The sequence below is a fragment of the Homo sapiens genome, chromosome 7 (assembly GCF_000001405.40).
Source record: "Homo sapiens chromosome 7, GRCh38.p14 Primary Assembly".
Taxonomy (NCBI): Eukaryota; Metazoa; Chordata; class Mammalia; order Primates; family Hominidae; genus Homo; species Homo sapiens.
Window position 1 is genome coordinate 90,795,082 of NC_000007.14, and position 23,228 is coordinate 90,818,309.

At 37.7% G+C, this 23,228-nt stretch overlaps 1 protein-coding gene and 1 long non-coding RNA gene across 5 annotated transcripts in view; both read left to right on the forward strand.

Annotated features, from left to right (window-relative positions):
- Positions 1-23,228, forward strand: part of CDK14 (cyclin dependent kinase 14) — a 614,270-nt gene that overhangs the window by 198,761 nt on the left and 392,281 nt on the right. The gene's annotated exons all lie outside the window — the stretch shown is intronic.
- LOC124901694 (uncharacterized) lies at positions 381-7,828 on the forward strand. Its single transcript, XR_007060424.1, has 2 exons — positions 381-1,899; positions 1,973-7,828. It is a non-coding gene; the product is annotated as an uncharacterized LOC124901694 (long non-coding RNA).

Genomic DNA, 23,228 nt, shown 5'->3' on the forward strand with positions numbered 1-23,228 from the left:
TTTATGAGCCCAAACCCAACTATTTTGCATATAAACAAAATATGCTGTGCACAGATTTAATATATACCAAACTATCTAGGAATACAACTACAGTGTAAATCATGGAAAAATTGTATTGTGTTTTGTTTAAAACTTTACAACTTGTTCATATTTTGGAAAAATTCCTTAGTGGCAGTGCTGCTTGTGTTATTTAATTCAATAATGCAATATCCCACAGTCTGCATTTGTAGTGGTTGTGCTTATGCTGATTCTGTACATAGATGTGAGCACCACTCTTCAGTGTGTTCCGGTATAGTTGTGTCTACTTACATATTTAAAGACTTTGTTTTATTATAAATTAATTTTTATTTATTTTTTGTATTAGTTACATATAGATATAAATTAATATATTTGAAATTATATTTATATATAAATATTTGAAATTATGTATGTGTATCTTGTTATATATGAATTCCATTTCATAGTAGTAAAGGCAAAAAAAGTAGTAAAATATTTGTTATATAAAGAGGGTATTGGCTTTGATGGGATTGAAAATGACTGAGGTAGAACAATAGGTTTTTGTTAAGCTGTGGAGGGAGATAAGGTTAAAAGTGCTACTGAATTTAATTATACAGTAGACCCTGAATATGAGAGAGGAGAGGGACAGGGACTCTGGGCCAAAAAGGAACCAGAAGAAAAATGAAACTGGCCAGCAGGCAGGATTCCTGGTATGCAGGGTGTGCACTAGAATTAATCAACCTAATCTTACTGTTGGTGCTAGTCTTGGTCCAAGGTGACAAGAAGGTTCGTAGTGGTATTGAAGGACCAGTGTGACAAGCAGGCCCATCAGTGGGAGGTTCAAGGGAAGAAGCAAGTAGGATCACATTGAAGTTGTTGATGATCTTCTTATTCACTTTGGCTGGGTGTGAGGCAAGCTCCTGAGGCACATTAAAGGTTAGCTTCTGGGAAACACAGAGAAGCGGGGAATGCAATGAATCCTTAGCACACTGAGACCTGGCTTTGACTGGCAACATAATTTCATTTTAAGCCTTGAGATGAGCTTAGGAACTGGCCCTCAGTTGCGGTTGTGTTGTAGAATGCAGGGCTGTGTAGGTGGGATCTTGTTCTGTGGGTTAGAGAGCCTCTGAAGACTTTAGAGTTGGGCATATTAGGGACAAAAATCTGATATTCAGATAGGATATCAATTAGAAAAAGAAGAAACTGGAAGCTGATAAGTCAGTCATTCAGTGTGTTGCAGATTTGAAATTATGGGTTTATTAGATGTTAGTAACAAAAAATAATATTCTATAGAAAGAGATGTCAGAGCTAGGTGAAGTATTGATTACAGATTGAGAGGAAAATGTCAATGGTTTTGAGTTTGACTGAGTGAAAAAATAGGGCCAGAGATAGAAATAGTTGGTGATTGCATGGAGAATTGCTTTTAAGACTTTACAGTTTAAAAGGCTGTTATCCGATATAATCTTCATATGCTAGCCCTTTGAAAAAGTTTTAAATTTTTATTTTGTAGAATTTATATTGTTTATAGAACCTGTATTATAAATATGGAATTAAGGCTCAGAGGGGTTAGATGACTTGTCTAAGGAGCAGGATCTTGTACCTAGACCTTGTTAGATTTCAACAGGGTCATTACTGACATTTTGGAGTAATCAATTTGGGTTTTAGGGATTTTGAGCTCATGAGACATCTGTATGAAAATGTCTTGTTGGGAATGTGGGAGTGCAGCTCACAAGAGTTTAGCGTAAGTAGTATATATGTACCATGGTCGTTAAGAAGTTGAACCATGTATAACATTTTTGTGGAAGCGAATGTTGAGTGAAAACAGAGTCAGTTACAAGGCAAGGTAGAAACTCCCATGGGAAGCTGGAGGTGATTTCTCTTATGTTGTACAGTGATGAAAAAGTCAGAATCAAAACCTACTGATTTGTGTATGTTGATTTTGTATTCTGCAACTTTACTGAATCGACATACACAGATCAGTAGGTTTTGATCCTGACTTTGTTTTTCATCCATGTACAGTATAAGATAAGCCACCTCAATTAGTTTGCTAGGGCTGCTGAAAAAAAGTACCACAGCCTGGGTAGCTTAAACAACAGAAACTTAATGTCTTGCAGTCTTGGAAGCTGGAAGTCTGAGAGTAAGGTGTCATGGCCCTCCAAATGAGGGCAATGAGGAAAGATCTGTGCCAGCCACTCTCCTTAACTTGTAGATAGTGGTCTTCTCCCTGTGTCTTCACATCATTTTTCCTGTGTACCTGTCTGCATCCAAATTTTCTCTTCTTACAAGGACAATAATCACTTTGGTTTAGGGTCCACCCATATGACATCATTTCAACTTAATTACCTTTTTGAAGACCCTATCTCCAAATACAGTCCTATTCTAAGGTACTAAAGGTCAGGACTTCAACATGAATTTTTTGGGGGGACACAGTTCAGCCCATAACAGCACTTAATGGCTTTGGGCCTTAGTAACCCTACGTATTAATCCATTCTTGCACTGTTGTAAAGAAATACCTGAGACTGAGTAATTTCTAAAGAAAAGAGGTTTAATTGGCTCATGGTTCTGCAGGCTGTACCAGAAGCACAGCATCTTCTGGAGAGGCCTCAGGAAACTTTCAATCATCCTATAAGGCAAAGGGGAAGCAGGCACGTCTTACATGCTGAAGCAGGAGGAATAGAGAGAGGGAGGAGGTCCTATACACTCTTAAACAACCAGATTTCATGACAGCTCACTGACTCACTATTGATATGACAACACGAAGGGGGATGGTGTTAAACCATGATAAACCACCCCAGATCCAATCACCTCCCACCAGGCCCCACCTCCAATAATGGGGATTACAATTCAACATGAGATTTAGGTGAGGGCACAGACTCAAACCATGTCACCCTACTTGCAAAAAATAGGAGTTGGATTATGCCATCTCTTAAGAACTACTTTGGCGTTGTGGTTTTGATTTCCCAAAGAATCTTTAAACTCAGAATTTGGAATGTTCTGGAGATCAGGGAATGATAGAAAAATAGTTGGGGCCTTGATCACAAAATGGCATTTTATTTTCTATTGAATAAAATATTTTAATGTCTTTCTAATAAAGTCTGACTTCTGAGTGATTTTTTTTTTTTTTGTAGCAGTAAATGACTTCAAGGAAGAGAAATTAAACTCTGGGTCAGTTTTTGTTATTTGTTTTTTTCTTGCCTTCTCATTCTGCCTTTCATATTCTTATTTTTCTGCTGTTTATATCTGGAAGCAAAAGGCATCATCATTGCTTAGCCTTTCCCCATTAATACTTCTGGAAGTCCAGACACAATAACTCCTCTGTGTATCTAATGGTAGAATTTGAAATATTTAGGGCAATGTGGGAGACATTTGGGATATGTTCAATTTTACATTGATGAGGAAGCAGCATGGTGTGTTCAACTGAGATAGAACACCTGAATTTGAATTTGCCCCTCTTCTGCTGTGTTGATCAATTTCTCATTTACAAAATATCAACAGCGGGAAGATTTCAGAATAGGAAAGCACCATGCACAGTAAAGTAGTTTGTAAGTGGCTACTTGCCACTCACAGGCTTACCTAGAAACTTGGATTTTAGGGCGTAATTTTCACCTCAAGTGGAAATACTTGAAGCAACTCTAATCTAACCTAGATTTATGTCCAAAGATGTACTTTGAATTTTATCTCTCATTGAGCTAGAGTGTGTAATGGATTAATTCAAGTTCAGGCGCTTTGAAACTCATTCTGTCCTCGATGGCAGCTTGGAGAAATTAAGTTGTAGTGCTCAGGGTCAGCTTTTCTATTTTAATTTAGAATCATTATATGGCATCATCTTGGTTTATGAGGAACAGATAAAGGGCTGGGAGATACAGGAGAGGTTTGAAAGACAGTGGATAAAATGTCTTAGGATATTCCATCTTTCAAACAACTTTTAAGTGTTAAGTGTGTATGTTCTTACTCTCTGATATTGTATTCTAGACTTCCACGTTTTTTGTTGTCTTAAGATTTTCTTAGACAGGCATGAGGTGAATGAACCAGTTGTCTCTTTTCATAGATTCTTGAATATGTGATGGTTTTCTTAGGTGAGAATTATGCTTAAAGAGAAATCTAGATACTCTAATAGGGAACAAATTTAAATTAAAATGGTAGCAGTATAAATAGACAATATTTGGTGTGTGCTTGCACAGCCAGAGCCTAGTCTCACTTAACACTCACAAAACCCTCTAAGGTAGGTACTATCATTATTGCTATTTTGAGGTTAGTAAAGTTAGGATTGGAGAAGTCACTCACCTAAGGTTAACGCTAGCATGTGGTAGAGCTAAAAGCTGAACCTGGCTGGGTGCGGTGGCTCACACCTGTAATCCCAGTACTTTGGGAGGCGGAGGCAGGCGGATCACCTGAGGTCAGGAGTTTGAGACCAGCCTGTTCAACGTGGCAAAACCCCGTGTCTACTAAAAATACAAAAAAATTAACCAGGTGTGGTGGCGGGCACCTGTAATCCCAGCTACTAGGGAGGCTGAGGCAGGAAAATCACTTGAACCTGGGAGGCAGAGGTTGTAGTGAGACAAGATCGCGCCACTGCGCTCCAGCCTGGGTGACAAGAGTGAAACTCCATCTCAAAAAAAAAAAAAAAAAAAAAAAAAAAGCTGAACCTGAGCAATCATACGGCAGAGCCTATACTTAAACGTTATACTCTGCTAGATTTTATGTAGAAATTTTGAATTTATGCTTCATTTTCATTTCATACAGAGGGTTGTGTTATTGCCATTAAGTCAAGGTTAGCAAAAAAGATAGGGATTTTGAGGGGGGACATGGGAAAAAATTTATTTATAAAAGTGATAACACATTTTTCAATAAAGAAAGGAAGGCAGCATCCACATAGGACAAGAAAGGGTCTAAAAGAGGAAAGGAACAAATAGATTCAACACAATATAACTCAGAGACAGTAGAAACATGTAGAGGAAAAGGGGACCTCTCATGGTAAACTCTGTAGTATTGAACTTTTTGTTTGGGTACATTCTTTTTAATACATGTCTGAGTATTCCCATGTGCTTTATCCACCTTCTCTCTCTTCCTTTCTCCACCCTTCTTTATGTATTTTTTTCATTATTCATTCTATTAGAATTCTATGGAAACATTTTAGATTTTTAATACAAAATGTGGTACCAGGAAGGCAGAGGTAGATATAAACTGAAAAAGAGATAAAGGAAAAAGAACAACTTCTTTTATTTCAAATATTTGGAATTAGTTAACCTGCTTGTAAAATGAATAATTTTATGATTTAATTGTAAAATTTGTACTGTATAATTAAAATATTCTAATAGTACAATAAATGTTATATGAATTATTGATATTACTTTTACAAATTTTTTAAAGTTATAAATTGGAAAATAAGACTGATTTTAATTGAGTCATTAAAATTTTGGTGTTTGACTGATACTTGATTCTCTACCTTACATTTTTCTTTTTTAATGTTATAGCCTATCTGTTTTTGTTGTTTTTCATTAACCATACCATTTTTCCTTGTAACTGTATGGTACAATTGCTTGTGAAGTTTGTATATGTAATTGAGTTATAATTCAATTGATAATTAACCAGTCTAGATTTCATTTCTTGCATTTCATGTTTGGGGTGTTGTATTGCTTTTCTAGGGCTTCTGTGATAAATTACCACAAATTTGCTGGCTTATTCTTTTGTAGTGCTGGAGAGTAGAAGTCCAAAATCAGGATATTGGCCAGTTCATGCTTCTTTTAGAGGCTATAGGGAAGAAATTCTTGCTAGTTTTTTCCTAGCTCCTGGTGGCTTCCTACAATCTTTGGTGTTCTTTGGCTTATCGTTACATCACTTCGATCTCTGCCTCCATCTTCACATGGTCTTCTCTCTCTCTGTGTCTTCTCCTCTTATAGGGACATCAGTCATTGGATTTAGAGCCCACGCTAATCCAGCATGGCTTCATCTTAACTTAGCTAATTATGTCTGCAAAGGCCCCATTTGCAAATAAGGTCACCTTCTGAGGTTCTGGGCTGACATAAATTTCTGAGAGACACTATTCAACCTGCTACCAGTGTTTATTTTTCTCAGTTTCACAGGGAGATTTGTAGGTCATAATGGACTGGGACCTGCATTGGACCTTTGAAAGCTTAGGAGAAAAATGTACTACATGGTGGTTTTGATAACACTCTTCTTTGTTTTCTTATTACTGAAGTTTGCATATAATAGACAATGAATGAATATAGATAACTTTCTCCAATGTGATTTATTTTTGTTTCTCTCCATATAGGCTCTTTTGTTATTGTTATTCATTTATTTTTGTTTTCAAGCAAAATATCATTCTCTGTGGATTATTGAATGACATATGAACTGTGGCTTGTGTGGAGATAGATTACATCTGTCAAGTTAGTGAGTATGATTGAGACATTGGTAGTTAGTCTGGGATTGGAAGCAGGAAGAACTGATATAATGGAGACCTCTAAAGCTACTAAGTTGCTGTGAAATGATAAAGGTCTACTTCCACAATTCTATACGTTGGCCACTGGGATTTCAGACACATTTACACAAAGACAAAATGTTCCAGGCTGTTCTGTTGGAGTCTTTTTTTATTCAGATATGCCTTTTATCCAGGTATATGGACATGTTTTTTTATCCAGATACATCTTTTTTATCTTTGAGTAGATTCCTGGGCTGTCCCATAAGAGCCTTTTTTTATCCAAATATATAGTTTTGATGATCAAATACAACCTAAATGATAAGTATATAATCATCTTTGGTTATAACTGAAATTATTTTGTCAATATCTGGATGCCTAGATACTTCTTACCCCTATCACCTTCCCAGTGGAGAGAGGACATCTGCCAAAAGAGAACTCAGGTCCTCTGTTCCCTCCCTTTTCCCTGACCTGGAGTCTCTTGCACTCAGGCTCCTGAAAGCTAAGTTGAGAGAGTGGGCACAGATGGGAAGAGGGGCTCCTGGGACATAACCTCCTTCTTTAATAGACTGGAGGGCTGTTGCAGGGAGAGGAAGAAAGGACAAACATTTGTTTCCATTTGTGTTTTGTCAATATCGCTGTTTGGAATTGTTCATCCTCTTGTAATGATTTCAAAATTAACAAGTTGATTATAGATGGAATTTTCAGTGAAACATTATGTTAATGCAACATTTGACCCTGTGTAGTAGGTGACAGGTTAAATTAGGTTTCTTCAAGGGTCTTAATAACTTTTTTTAAGACTCAAAAATTCTTTGCTCAGCCTAGACATTTCTGAATTCAGCTGTTTTATTGGCAACTGTTTTTAAAGACACTATTTGTAGCATCATTGTTGGAAGTACATGAATCCTATAAAAGCTAATTAGGAATCTAAATCAGACTTTAGAGATTACCTTGTCCAGGGGTTTCTCAGTTGCATCCTCATGGTCTTCAAGCTATGTGTTTGGTCTTACAGTAAATTTTAATAAATAGTGACCAGAAAGTGGTCCAGGGCCTGGTTTCTGAAGCCTGACTGCCTGGATTGCAGTTTGGACTTCATTCTCATCTAAGTGTATGATTTTGAGCAAGTCTTAAACTTGCTGTGCCTCATTTTCCATTTCTTAAAGAGGATGAAAATACGACTCAACTTACAGGCTTCTTGGGACATTATATCCATCAAATATGAACATGAGGCCATAAAATAGAAGCAATCAAGGAATAATGAAAATTTCTTCAAAATAAAAATACATTAACAGGTATTAAACTTTCAGAAGAACATTTGGATTGTGAACTCAGAGAAATCTCCCAAAAGGAGATCAAGAAGAGTTATCATCTCTTATGTCTTTGAGAATAAATAATATAGTTATTTGAATTTTCTTCTATATTGTCACTTTCATTTATTTCTGCTTGTGTGTTTGGTCTCTTTCTTATTGGAAGCATCTTTCAGCTACCTGGAGATCTTGTTGATTGTCAGCTCATATTTAAAAGTCAGACTTTAATACGCTGTTTGGAAGCTCTGGGTGCTTGGATAGGGAATATTGGTTGGCAGTTTTGTGATGGGGTGAGTTAACCATTTTTTTTTTTCTTGCAGTATCTAAGATGTCAGTATTTGGGGGTCGTTTCTTGGAAGGAGGCTTCAGTTTCTACAGAAAAGGATTATTTAATCTCCTGCCTGGAAGATTTCAGTTTGCTGCCCACATTGTGGGGATTGAGTAAGAGACAGAGGTTACAGGGGAGTCTCAACCTTCAACATGCAGATTTTTATTGAATTTACCTATTTTCAGTTCAGATTATGCAGTGTTAGAGAGACAAAAAGGCACCCAAATATTTAAGGCAAAAAATTAATGGGCCTCTAAAAAGGTTTTGGCAGTAGGGATAGATAGGAGATAAATATGTTTGGAAGGGACTTAAGAGGGACACTTGGTAGGGCTTTGTGTTTGACTAGACATGGAGCTTGATGAAGGTGGGGTTAGTCAGGGTGACTTCCAGGATTCTGGATTGGGTAATTAGGTAGATAGTGGAACCAGTAATGAGTAACTGTGGTTGGGGATAGGGGAGGCAGGTGGAGTATAAGAAAGACAATGAGTTCAATTAGTGAGTTTGAAATCTGGCATTCATGTGGCAGTTGTGTGACATGGTGGTGCAGTTTAGATAACAGGTGTTTGTTGTATCTAAATTGAGAACTTTACAAGTCATATTCGAGTATATGATCTAGTTTAATTTTTAATTCCTTGAGGAAGGTTGATGTTACCATCTTCATTTTACTAATCAAGACACTGAATTCCTTGAGGGAGGTTGATGTTACCATCTTCATTTTACTAATCAAGAGGCTGAGGTCTAACAAGATTTTTTTTGTGCAAAGTCATACAAATAATTAAGTGGTAGATATGGAGTTCACCTTGAATATTCTAACCAGGGCCTAGAACAGTGCCTGGCACATGATAGGCACTCAGGGTATGTTGAATGACTGAGTGAATGAATGAATAAGCTCCCATGTTCTTTCTTTGTATTCTATTATATGGCCTTACTATTGGGACAGAAACCCATATGATGAAAATTGTACACAGATTCTTCTCAGGCTTCCCCAGAGCAAAAAGGCGATATTGAGAAAGCTCCATAAGCGAGGAGCTGGAAATTTTTCAGTCTTGATGGAGACTGTGCCCCTAGCTATGTGATCATAAGCAAGTACTTAACATATTTTGTCTTTAGTTTTTTCATTTTTGAAATGGAGACCATATTATTTTAGAGCTTTATAATTAAAATAATATTACCAACATGAATCTTTTACCTGGAAAAAAGATCTATAATTGTATCACTATTATTCTCAATGCATACATGCAGTAATATGATGCACATTTATTGGGTTAAAATATTTTTTAAACCTTCTAACAATCACCCTTTCTGTCTGTCACTGAAAAAATTAACATGAATTGCTTAAAGCGTTTTTATAATTGACAGGCAAAAATTTTGTAAATGGAAGATAAAAATCCATGAGTCTAGACTGTAATTCTAAGTATGCTTATGTAAATTGCCACAATTGTTATTCTAAGTCTGAGTAATCTGATGGGTGTCTGCCAACTGATATCAACAAAAACTTGTCAAGTGTTAAATCATGATTAAAAACTATGAAAGTCATATGTTTTCTTTTTTATATTAATAATTTTAAAGGATAAAGTTTGTTTTTTAAAATCAAGTAACTGAATTCCTGGCTGTTTTAAATTTGTAAAAAATTTATATGACATTTTGTCCTATTTTGTCAACTAGAAATATAAATTGAGATATGATACTTTTATATTTAAGACATTTTTAGGAGGATTACATAAACAGTTCTAATCTGAATTCATGTATAACTTCTAAAAATCCCATGGACTTTTTCAGTTCCTACTTTGCCAATCTTTAAAAAACGCTATCTTGTTTGATTTTCACCAAATCTTATGTTATATGTAGGTTTTAATATATCCAAGTTACAGGTGAGGAAATTGAGGCCTAGACATAAATAAAATGTCCTGTGTTACAAAACTTGCCAGTAAATGACTGTTAGGATTTACACTGGGATTTTTAAATTGAGGTGTTTGTTCAAAGATAATACATTCTTCCATTCAAAATTTCTGGGTTAATTTTAAAAAATGATGAGAATTCGTAATGTACTTGTAAACTTCTTGTCATGATAGTAATTAACATAGCTACTATAAGTTGCTTTAAAAAAATGTAACCCATGAGCAAGGGGGGTATCTTAAAGTTCAGTTTGACATCTCAAAATCATTTAATGTAATACCATGTTAATAGAATAAAGTTTAAAAATCACATTATTATTCCAATAGATGTAAAAAATGTTCGTTACAAAAGCTAACACCTATTCGTGTTAAAGGCTTAACAAACTTTGAATAGAAAGGAATTTTCTCAACACACACACACACACACAGCCATATTTGTGTATACTAGCAATGAACATGTGGAAAACAAAATTTAGAATACAATACCACTTATAATCACTTTAAATACTTATAATAAAAAAGAAATACCTAGGGATAAATCTAACAAAACATATTTAGAATTTTTGTACTGAAAATTACAAAATCTTGATGGAAAGAAATAAAGGAAGATTAAAATAAATAAAAAGATGTACCTTGTTTATGGATTGAAGATCTCGTATTGTTAAGATGACACCTCACCCCAAATTTCTCTATTGATTTAATGTCACACCTGTCAAAATCCCAGCCAGCTTTTTGTAGAAATTGGCCATCTGAGCTACAATTATATTTCATATATTACATTATATGAAAATGTAATGAACTGGAATTGCCAGAACAGTTTTGAAAATGAACAAAGTAGGAAGACTTACACTACTTAATTTCAGAAACTTTGTAAAAAGCTACAGGGATCAAGACAGTATGTTATAGTTGTGAAAATAAACATATTGATTCACAGCATAGAATGGAAAGTTCAAAAATGAACCCTGACATTTGTGGGCAGTTGATTTTTAATAAGTTGCAAGGCAATTCAATGGAGAAATAACTTTTTCAATAAATGGTGCTATGACAATTGGATATTCAAATGCAAAAAGATATACACCCTTATATAATAATATACACAAATTTCAACTCAAAATTGATCAAAGACCTCAGTGTAGGAGATAAAAGTTAAAACTTCTGGAAGGAAATCTGGTAGAAAATTTTGTGCCCTTGGATTACACAAATATTTCATAGATATGACAGCAAAAACGTAATATATAAATGAAAATCAATAAATTGGAGTTGTCCTCTTAAAAAGACACCATTAAAGAAATGAAAAGACAAGTCACAAATTGGTAGAAAATATTTCCAAATAATATATTGGATAAAGGATTTATATTAAAAATATATAAAGAGGTCCAAAACTCAATGATGAAAAGACCCCCACAATTTTTTTAAATGGGGAATTTATTTGAATAGACATTTCAGCAAAGAAATATATGAATGGCGAAGATGGCCAAATAGGAACAGCTCCAGTCTACAGCTCCCAGCGTGAGCGATGTAGAAGACAGGTGATTTCTGCATTTCCAACTGAGGTACCAGGTTCATCTCACTGGGAAGTGTTGGAAAGTGGGTGCAGGACACTGAGTGCAGTGCACCGAGCATGAGCCAAATCAGGGCGAGGCATCGCCTCACCTGGGAAGCACAAGAGGTCAGGGAATTCCCTTTCCTAGTCAAAGAAAGGGGTGACAGACGGCACCTGGAAAATCAGGTCACTCCCACCCTAATACTGTGCTTTTCCAATGGTCTTAGCAAACGGTACACCAGGAGATTATATCCCGTGCCTGGCTCTGAGGGTCCTACACCCGCGGAGCCTCACTCATTGCTAGCACAGCAGTCTGAGGTCAAACTGCAAGGTAGCAGCGAGGCTGGGGGAGGGGCACCCGCCATTGCCCAGGCTTGAGTAGGTAAACAAAGTGGCCAGGAAGCTCAAACTGGGTGGAGCCCACTGCAGCTCAAGGAGGCCTGCCTGCCTCTGTAGACTCCACCTCTGGGGGCAGGGCATAGCCAAACAAAAGGCAGCAGAAACCTCTGCAGACTTAAATGTCCCTGTCTGACAGCTTTGAAGAGAGTAGTGGTTCTCCCAGCACGCAGCTGGAGATCTGAGAATGGACAGACTGCCTCCTCAAGTGGGTCCCTGACCCCCGAGTAGCGTAAGTGGGAGGCACCACCCAGTAGGGGCAGACTGACACCTCACATGGCCAGTTACTCCTCTGAGACAAAACTTGCAGAGGAATGATCAGGCAGCAACATTTGCTGTTCACCAATACCTGCTGTTCTTCAGCCTCTGCTGCTGATACCCAGGCAAACAGGTCTGGAGTGGACCTCCAGCAAACTCCAACAGACCTGCAGCTGAGGGTACTGAATGTTAGAAGGAAAACTAACAAACAGAAAGGACATCCACACCAAAAACCCATCTGTACGTCATCATCATCAAAGACCAAAGGTAGATAAAACCACAAAGATGGGGAAAAAACAGAGCAGAAAAACTGGAAACTCTAAAAATCCGAGTGCCTCTCCTCCTCCAAAGGAATGCAGCTCCTCACCAGCAACGGAACAAAGCTGGACAGAGAATGACTTTGACAAGTTGAGAGAAGCAGGCTTCAGACGATCAAACTACTCCGAACTAAAGGAGGAAGTCCGAACCCATGGCAAAGAAGTTAAAAACCTTGAAAAAACATAGACAAATGGCTCACTAGCATAACCAGTGCAGAGAAGTCTTTAAAGGACCTGATGGAGCTGAAAACCAAGGCACAAGAACTACATGACGAATGTACAAGCCTCAGTAGCCAATTCGATCAACTGGAAGAAAGGGTATCAGTGATGGAAGATCAAATGAATGAAATTAAGTGAGAAGAGAAGTTTAGAGAAAAAAGAATAAAAAGAAATGAACAAAGCCTCCAAGAAATATGGGACTATGTGAAAAGACCAAATCTACGTCTGATTGGTGTACCTGAAAGTGACGAGGAGAATGGAACCAAGTTGGAAAACACTCAGCAAGATATTACCCAGGAGAAGTTCCCTAATCTAGCAAGGCAGGCCAACGTTCAAATTCAGGAAATACAGACAACACCACAAAGATACTCCTCGAGAAGAGCAACTCCAAGACACATAATTGTCAGGTTCACCAAAGTTGAAATGAAGGAAAAAATGTTAAGGGCAGCCAGAGAGAAAGATTGGGTTACCCACAAAGGGAAGCCCATCAGACTAACAGTGGATCTCTTGGCAGAAACCCTACAAGCCAGAAGAGAGTGGGGGCCAATATTCAACATTCTTAAAGAAAAGAATTTTCAACCCAGAGTTTCATATCCAGACAAACTAAGCTTCATAAGTAAAGGAGAAATAAAATACTTTACAGAAAGGCAAATGCTGAGAGATTTCTGTCACCACCAGGCCTGCCATACAAGAGACCCTGAAGGAAGCACTAAACATAGAAAGGAACAACTGGTAACAGCCACTGCAAAAACATGCCAAGTTGTAAAGACCATCGAGGCTAGGAAGAAACTGCATCAACTAACGAGCAAAATAACCAGCTAACATCATAATGACAGGATCAAATTCACACATAAAGATATTAACCTTAAATGTAAATGGGCTAAATGCTCCAATTAAAAGACACAGACTGGCAAATTGGATAAAGAGTCAAGACCCATCAGTGTGCTATATTCAGGAAACCCATCTCATGTGCAGAGACACACATAGGCTCAAAATAAAGGGATGGAGGAAGATCTACCAAGCAAATGAAAAACAAAAAAAGGCAGGGGTTGCAATCCTAGTCTGTGATAAGACAGACTTTAAACCAACAAAGATCAAAAGAGACAAAGAAGACCATTACATAATGAATGGTAAAGGGATCAATTCAACAAGAAGAGCTAATTATCCTAAATATATATGCACCCAATACAGAAGCACCCAGATTCATAAAGCAAGTCCTTAGAGACCTACGAAGAGACTTAGACTCCCATACAATAATAATGGGAGACTTTAACACCCCACTGTCAGCATTAGACAGATCAATGAGACAGAAAGTTAACGAGGATATCCAGGAACTGAACTCAGCTCTACACCAAGTGGACCTAATAGACATCTACAGAACTCTCCACCCCAAATCAACAGAATATACATTCTTTTCAGCACCACACCACACCTATTCCAAAATTGACCACATAGTTGGAAGTAAAGCTCCCCTTAGCAACTGTAGAAGAACAGAAGTTATAACAAACTGTCTCTCAGACCACAGTGCAATCAAACTAGAACTCAGGATTCAGAAACTCACTCAAAACCGCTCAACTACATGGAAACTGAACAACCTGCTCCCGAATGACTGCTGGGTACATAACAAAATGAAGGCAGAAATAAAGATGTTCTTTGAAACCAACGAGAACAAAGACACTACATACCAAAATCTCTGGGACACATTCAAAGCAGTGTGTAGAGGGAAATTTATAGCACTAAATGCCCACAAGAGAAAGCAGGAAAGATCTAAAATTGACACCCTAACATCACAAATTAAAAGAACTAGAGAAGCAAGAGCAAACACATTCAAAAGCTAGCAGAAGGCAAGAAATAACTAAGATCAGAGCAGAACTCAAGGAAATAGAGACACAAAAAACCCTTCAAAGAAATGAATCCAGGAGCTAGTTTTTTGAAAAGATCAACAAAATTGATAGACCGCTAGTAAGACTAATAAAGAAGAAAAGAGAGAAGAATCAAATAGAAGCAATAAAAAATGATAAAGGGGATATCACCACCAATCCCACAGAAATGCAGACTACCATCAGAGAATACTATGAACACCTCTATGCAAATAAACTAGAAAATCTAGAGGAAATGGATAAATTCCTGGACACATACACCCTCCCAAGACTAAACCAGGAAGAAGTTGAATCTCTGAATAGACCAATAACAGGCTCTGAAGTTCAGTCAATAATTAATAGCTTACCAACCAAAAAAAGTCCAGGACCAGATGGATTCATAGCTGAATTCTACCAGAGGTATAAGGAGGAGCTGGTACCATTCCTTCTGAAACTATTCCAATCAATAGAAAAAGAGGAAATCCTCCTTAACTCATTTTATGAGGCCGGCATCATCCTGATACCAAAGCCTGGCAGAGACACAACAAAAAAAGAGAATTTTAGACCAATATCCCTCATGAACATCGATGCAGAAATCCTCAATAAAATACTGGGAAACCAAGTCCAGCAACACATCAAAAAGTTTATCCACCATGATCAAGTGGGCATCATCCCAGGGATGCAAGGCTGGTTCAACATATGCAAATCAAAAAAACGTAATCCAGCGTAGAAACAGAACCAAAGAGAAAAACCACATGATTATCTGAATAGATGTGGAAAAGACCTTTGACAAAATTCAACAACCCTTCATGCTAAAAACTCTCAATAAATTAGGTATTGATGGGAGGTATCTCAAAATAATAAGAGCTATCTATGACAAACCCACAGCCAATACCATACTGAATGGGCAAAAACTGGAAGCATTCCCTTTGAAAACTGGCACAAGACAGGGATGCCCTCTCTCACCACTCCTATTCAACATAGTGTTGGAAGCCAGGGCAATTAGGCAGGAGAAGGAAATAAAGGGTATTCAATTAGGAAAAGAGGAAGTCAAATTGTCCCTGTTTGCAGATGACATGATTGTATATCTAGAAAACCCCATCGTCTCAGCCCAAAATGTCCTTAAGCTGATAAGCAACTTCAGCAAAGTCTCAGGATACAAAATCAATGTACAAAAATCACAAGCATTCTTATACATCAGTAACAGACAAACAGAGAGCCAAATCATGAGTGAACTCCCATTCACAATTGCTTCAAAGAGAATAAAATATCTAGGAATCCAACTTACAAGGGACGTGAAGGACCTCTTCAAGGAGAACTACAAACCACTGCTCAATGAAATAAAAGAGGATACAAACAAATGGAAGAATATTCCCTGCTCATGGATAGGAAGAATCAATATCGTGAGAATGGCCATACTGCCCAAGGTAATTTATAGATTCAGTGCCATCCCCATCAAGCTACCAATGACTTTCTTCACAGAACTGGAAAAAACTACTTTAAAGTTTATGTGGAACCAAAAAAGAGCCCCCATTGCCAAGTCAATCCTAAGACAAAAGAACAAAGCTGGAGGCATCATGCTACCTGACTTCAAACTATACTACAAGGCTACAGTAACCAAAACAGCATGGTACTGGTACCAAAACAGAGATATAGACCAATGGAACAGAACAGAGCCCTCAGAAATAACGCCGCATATCTACAACTATCTGATCTTTGACAAACCTGAGAAAAACAAGCAATGGGGAAAGGATTCCCTATTTAATAAATGGTGCTGGGAAAACTGGCTAGCCATATGCAGAAAGCTGAAACTGGATCCCTTCCTTACACCTTATACAAAAAATAATTCAAGATGGATTAAAGACTTAAACGTTAGACCTCAAACCATAAAAACCCTAGAAGAAAACCTAGGCAATACCATTCAGGACATAGGCATGGGCAAGGACTTCATGTCTAAAACACCAAAAGCAATGGCAACAAAAGCCAAAATTGACAAATGGGATCTAATTAAACTAAAGAGCTTCTGCACAGCAAAAGAAACTATCATCAGAGTGAACAGGCAACCTACAGAATGGGAGAAAATTTTCGCAATCTACTCATCTGACAAAGGGCTAATATCCAGAATCTACAATGAACTCAAACAAATTTACAAGAAAAAACAAACAACCCCATCAAAAAGTGGGCGAAGGATATGAAGAGACACTTCTCAAAAGAAGACTTTTGTACAACCAAAAGACACATGAAAAAATGCTCATCATCACTGGCCATCAGAGAAATGCAAATCAAAGCCACAATGAGATACCATCTCACACCAGTTAGAATTGCGATCATTAAAAAGTCAGGAAACAACAGGTGCTGGAGAGGATGTGGAGAAATAGGAACACTTTTACACTGTTGGTGAGACTGTAAACTAGTTCAACCATTGTGGAAGTCAGTGTGGCGATTCCTCAGGGATCTAGAACTAGAAATACCATTTGACCCAGCCATCCCATTACTGGGTATATACCCAAAGGATTATAAAACATGCTGTTATAAAGACACATGCCCATGTATGTTTATTGTGGCACTATTAGCAATAGCAAAGACTTGGAACCAACCCAAATATCCAACAATGATAAACTGGATTAAGAAAATGTGGCACATATACACCATGGAATACTATGCAGCTATAAAAAATGATGAGTTCATGTCTTTTGTATGGACATGGATGAAGCTGGAAACCATCATTCTCAGCAAACTATCGCAAGGACAAAAAACCAAACACGGCATGTTCTCACTCATAGGTGGTAATTGAACAATGAGAACACGTGGACACAGGAAGGGGCATATCACACACTGGGGCCTGTTGTGGGGTTGGGGAAGGGGGGACGGATTGCATTAGGAGATATACCTAATGTTAAATGACGAGTTGCTGGGTGCAGCACACCAGCATGGCACATGTATACATATGTTACTAACCTGCACATTGTGCACATGTACCCCAAAACTTAAAGTATAATAATAATAAAAAAAGAAATATATGAATGGCTAATAAGACCATGCAATGGTTTTCAAAGTTGTTAATCATAAAGGACATGAAAATTAAAAACCACAGTGAGCTATTACTGCACACCCAGTATAACGGTTATAATTGAGGGGACCAACAATACCAAGTGTTTCATATGGAATAATGGAACCCTTAAACATAGCTGTTGGGAATATCTGCTTGTGGTACCCCCACTTTGGAAAATAGTTTGACTGTTTTTTAAAGGTTAAATATTAAATTATCATATGACCCAGTGACTTCACTCCTGGGTATTGTCTACCCAAGAGAGATGAAAACATACTTCCACATGAAGACATTTACCTAAGTGTTTCCAGTATTATTATGCAGAATAGCCAAAATCTGGAAACAAGTTAAATGTCCATCAACTGTTGAGTTGATAAATAAAATATGGTATATTTGTACAGCAGTAAAAAGGAGCTAACTACTGATAACATGTTTGAACCTCATAAACACTGTGCTAAGTTAAATAACACTTGGTTGTATATACCAAGCGTATTTTGTTTGTTTGTTTCTTTTGAGATGGAATCTTGCTCTGTCGCCCAGGCTGGAGTGCAGTGGCACAATCTCAGCTCCCAGAACTTTCCAGAAAAAGTTGCCTGGGACGAGCTGGGAGCAAGGATTGACAGTGAACTGTTACAACTCTCTGGTGTAGGGAAAATGTGTCAGTTCTGGATTGTGCTTATAGTTGGGCAACTGTATAATAATTTACTGAAAACTATTGAATTGTATGCATACAACTGGTGGGTTTTACCATGGATAAATTATACTTCAGTAAAATTGTTTAACAAAAATGACTGATCTGGCTGGGCGTGGTGGCTCATGCCTGTAATCCCAGCACTTTGGGAGGCTGAAGTGGGTGGATCACCTGAGGTCAGACGTTTGAGACCAGCCTGGCCAACATGGCAAAACCCCGTCTCTACTAAAAATATTGTAAATTAGCTGGGCACGGTGGCATGTGCCTGTAATCCCAGCTACTTGGGAGGCTGAGACAGAAGAATTGCTTGAACCCAGGAGGCAGAGGTTGCAGTGAGCTGAGATCGCGCCACTACACTCCAGCCTGGGCAACAAAGCGAGACTCTGTCTCAAAAAAAAAAAATGATCTTAATGTAATGTAATATAAATAATAGTTAGGGTCCGAAGAATGTAAAACAAACAAATCTGAGTTATGGCATTGGTTGCAGAACTCTGTGTAGTTACTAAAAAGCACTGAATTTTATACTTACGGGTGGTATATTTTATGGTTTGTAAATTATACCTCACCTACATTTTCTCCTAATTTTATTAAAATACCGATTTATAGGTTTAGCCAAAAAAGAAGAAAATTCAAGTGTCAACATTAGTGATTTAATATCTTTATCTATTTCTCTTTCTTCCAAATTCTCTAAATATGTGTTACTTTTATTATCAGAAATAAAACTTTTGTTGACTCTAAACTTCTGTAACTGATACCTCCTAGTCTCAAAGATCTTAAAATTTATTAGTAAAGAAAGATGTATAATTGGTTGAATTATAGGACTGTAATTGCCAAAGTCTGTTGAAGGGAAAGAGTGAGATAGAAATCGTGGGTAAATTAAAAGAGCTTTGAAACTGATAGAAGAGGTGGCCCTTGAGTAAGTACTCTTACAGTCGGAAGGAAAGTTTCAGGGGTCTCTTGTTGATGCTATCCAGCTGTCCTGTCATTACAAAAAACATGAGCCACATTTTACATCAGAGCTTTTTTTTAAAAAAATTATCATTCCTGTCAATTTTTGACAAATAATTTTAATCACAAAATACTTGTTTAGCGAGAGAAAATAACCCAATATGAGCAAAAAACAAAAATAAAAACTACATTGTGGCCGGGCGTGGTGGCTCAATCCTGTAATCCCAGCACTTTGGGAGCCTGAGGCAGGCAGATCGCTGAGGTCAGGAGTTCGAGACCAGCCTGGCCAACATGGTGAAACCCCATCTTTACTAAAAATACAAAAATTAGCCAGGCGTGGTGGCTCACACCTGTAATCGCAGCTACTAGGGAGGCAGGAGAATTGCTTGAACCGAGGAGGTGGAGGTTGCAGTGAGCCGAGATTGTGCCACTGCACTCCAGCCTGGGCGACAGAGCAAGATTCCATCTCAAAAGAAACAAACAAAACTTATTGAGTAACTTATGCAGCCAGGAAGCTGATTGTAAATGGCAACTGACAAGCTGAACTTTTATGATTCCATAGTGGAGAAGCAGCCAGAGAAGCTACATCTCAGAAGAAGGACTCTCTTGCCTTTTTAAAATTTGAGTCTTCCTCAGCTCTGCTTTGAGCATCCTTCAAGGTCATGTTAGTGCTGCCTCTTCCCTGAAATCTTTCTGGCTTTCATAGAAACAATCTTTTTCCTTCTTTTTACTTTTTGTTCATTTTTGTTGTTGTTGTTTTATTTGTGTACACTTACCTTTTAGCACTTACTACATTGTACTTTATGATACAGTCAATTGTGTTCAATTATAAACTATTGCCAACTTAGGGCTTTATGTTCTAAGGGTTGTGGTGTGAACCAAGCACTGACTAGTAATATCCAAACTCTTTTCCTATTGCCATCAAAATGGAACTAAACCAGAGTGCAGTTTGTGTTTCAATATAATTTAAGCAGTAATGAAAATGGCCATATCAACAAACATATGAAAAAAAGCTCATCATCACTGGTCATTATATAAATGTAAATCAAAACCACTATGAGATATCATCTCATGCCAGTTAGAATGGCAATCATTAAAAAGTCAGGGAACAACAGATGCTGGTGAGGCTGTGGAGAAATAGGAACACTTTTACACTATTGGTGGAGTGTAAATTAGTTCAACCATTGTGGAATGCAGTATGGCAATTCCTCAAGGACCTAGAACCGGAAATAACATTTGACCCAGCAGTCCCATTACTGGGTATATACCCAAAGGATTATAAATCATTTTACTATAAAGACACATACACACATATGTTTATTGTGGCATTATTCACAATAGCAAAGACTTGGAACCAATCCAAATGCCCATCAACGATAGACTGGATAAAGAAAATGTGGCACATGTATACCATGGAATACTATGCAGCCATAAAAAAGAATGAGTTCATGTCTTTTGCAGGGACATGGATGAAGCTGGAAGCCATCATTCTCAGCAAACTAACACAGAAACAGAAAACCAAACACTGCATGTTCTCACTCATAAGTGGGAGTTGAACAATGAGAACACATGGACACAGGGAGGGTAACTTCACACACTGGGGCCTTTCCGGGGATGGGGGGTAAGGGGAGGGGGAGAATCAGGACAAACACCTAATGCATGCGGGGCTTAAGACCTAGAAGATGGGTTGATAGGTGCAGCAAACCACCATGGCACGTGTATGCCTATGTAACAAACCTGCATGTTCTATACATGTATCCCAGAACTTAAAATTTTTTTAAAAAAAGGGCCATAGTGGTTTCTGAATGAAAAGAGTTAGAGATCACTGATGTGGTCATGGCAGACATGGGATTTGGGCTGAGCCTTCAAACGTAGATAAAATTCCTATAAACATAAATGAACAGAGAAAGACATAACTGCCAGGGCAGCTGGCTGGAGTAGGACTAGTACTTCCACTCCACATCAACCAACACCACCACCAGTTTGGCTGGCATAGAGAGAATTAAATATCTTGCTAGTAGGGTGTGTGGGTTGCTCCTGAAAGTTTTCTAATGAAAACTCGAGCTGCTCAGATGTTCACTGTTATTCTACTAAAAAGATAATCTGGGTATTGTTCTGTGCGGTGTCAGTTTCTAGGACTTATTTTCTTTATACTTGTTGTTTGTTACTATTCCTTTTGTTACTTTGGCATGAATTTAATTATTGACACTGGATCATTAATGTGGCCAGGGCATTTGGGATGATTGGTCAGGAGACCCAGGGATCTGTAAGAAAATGTCATCCTGGGAAAGAGGAGATATAACAAGATATTGAAGATTGTGTCCAGTTCAGGGATATTAGTAAATTCTGAGAAAGATTTGAGTATCTTCAGCGAGGGTGAGTTTGAGGTTGATAGGACTACGTACAGAAACAGGGAAGTCAGACGTGGCAACAGTTTTAGGGCCAAAGTGACTGAATTCATGTGGTATGTACTGAAACTGAGGTGATAACCATTTATCCCAGTAAATCACTGAATCTGAGGATATAAAAGCTGAAAAGAGCATTAGTGGTGATGTAATCTGTTCCCACCATTTTACAAGAGAACAAGTGAGTCCTAGAGCGAGTAGGTAGTTTGAACTACCAAGATCAGGAGTGAAAGTCGTATGAGTCATCACTGCAGAGAAGATGGTCAGAGATCTGGCAGTGAATCACTTAGTTAAAATACAGCTCTCACCACAGATTATATCTGATCTTGGTGTGAAGTGCCAAAAAACACGTCATTCAGATCTCTCTGTATTTTATATTTTCTCCTGACATTTTGGAATGTGGTGGAACTCTTCAAAAGACTATCAAATAATTCCTATTTTAATTTTATAAAAGGAAAATTAATAGCATATGTGGGGAAAATGTACCATATAGTACATTGTGGGAAAAGTGTAGAAGTAGAGAATTAAGGGAAATTTTAGTATGGGTCATTTATATATTTTGGACACATGCCATTTCAGTCAAGTCCTTGAGTATACCCGTAAGAATCGAATTGATAATCGTACTTTTAAAAACCCTAGCAACCTGAACAGGACCCAAGAAATAGAATTAAAGAAAATAATAAGCCAGAACTTGGCGGTGGTTCTGTTATCTGTGAGCTTGACACTCTTTCCTTTTTGTCCTAAAGTTTCAGACTGGAATGGGCAGGAATCAACAGCAGGGGTCAGTTTTAATGATGCTAACTTGGTGTAACAAAATTATTTAGGATTATAAAATTTTCTTGATAGAGACTGAGATTAGTTTTTCTGTAGGAATTTTTGTTTGTTTGTTTGTTTTAAGAATTGATCCAGTTTCTGTGATGAACAGCAGATTGGTGGAGCTGGCTTATTTAGAATGACCTGTGTAATATTTTTTAAAAGTTCTAAATGCATAGTAGTCTCTTAGTAAGTGGTTGTCTCTGTTGTTACTTTCTAAATGCCTTTGATTAAATTGTAAGATTGTAAGCCGTTAGGAAGCAGTTCAACATTTCTACTCTCAGGGACTTCCAAGGTTGATTTGGATCTGGAGTAGCTCTTCTCCTCTGCCTGTTTTATGTTAATACATTTGGATTATTCCGGATGGTTCATGGTGGGTAAGGGAACCAATCTCCCACCATCTACCCTTTCTAACCAGCAGACTGTAAGCCCACAGAATTGATTACCAGACAGATTCACACCTAAGCCCATCTGACTCTTAAAGCACAGCTCTTAACACTAGGAAGTGCTGCTTCCCGGAGGCAGGATTATAGAAGTTAAGACTTAACCCTGAAGTGATTTGCTAGTTGATTGGCCAGGAGCTGCAGACTGTTACCCCAACTCCTGCTCCAGATTTCCTTTCTTAGTCAAATGCACACAGTCCTCTCTAGCATAACTGTGAATGTGTTAGAAAACAATCAAAACTTGTCTGGCAATGATTCACACATAACCAATTAAGTCCTGGAAAAATGGATTAACCAGATATTAAACATTTTGCTGTTTCATGGGCAGTTAATATAGTGGAA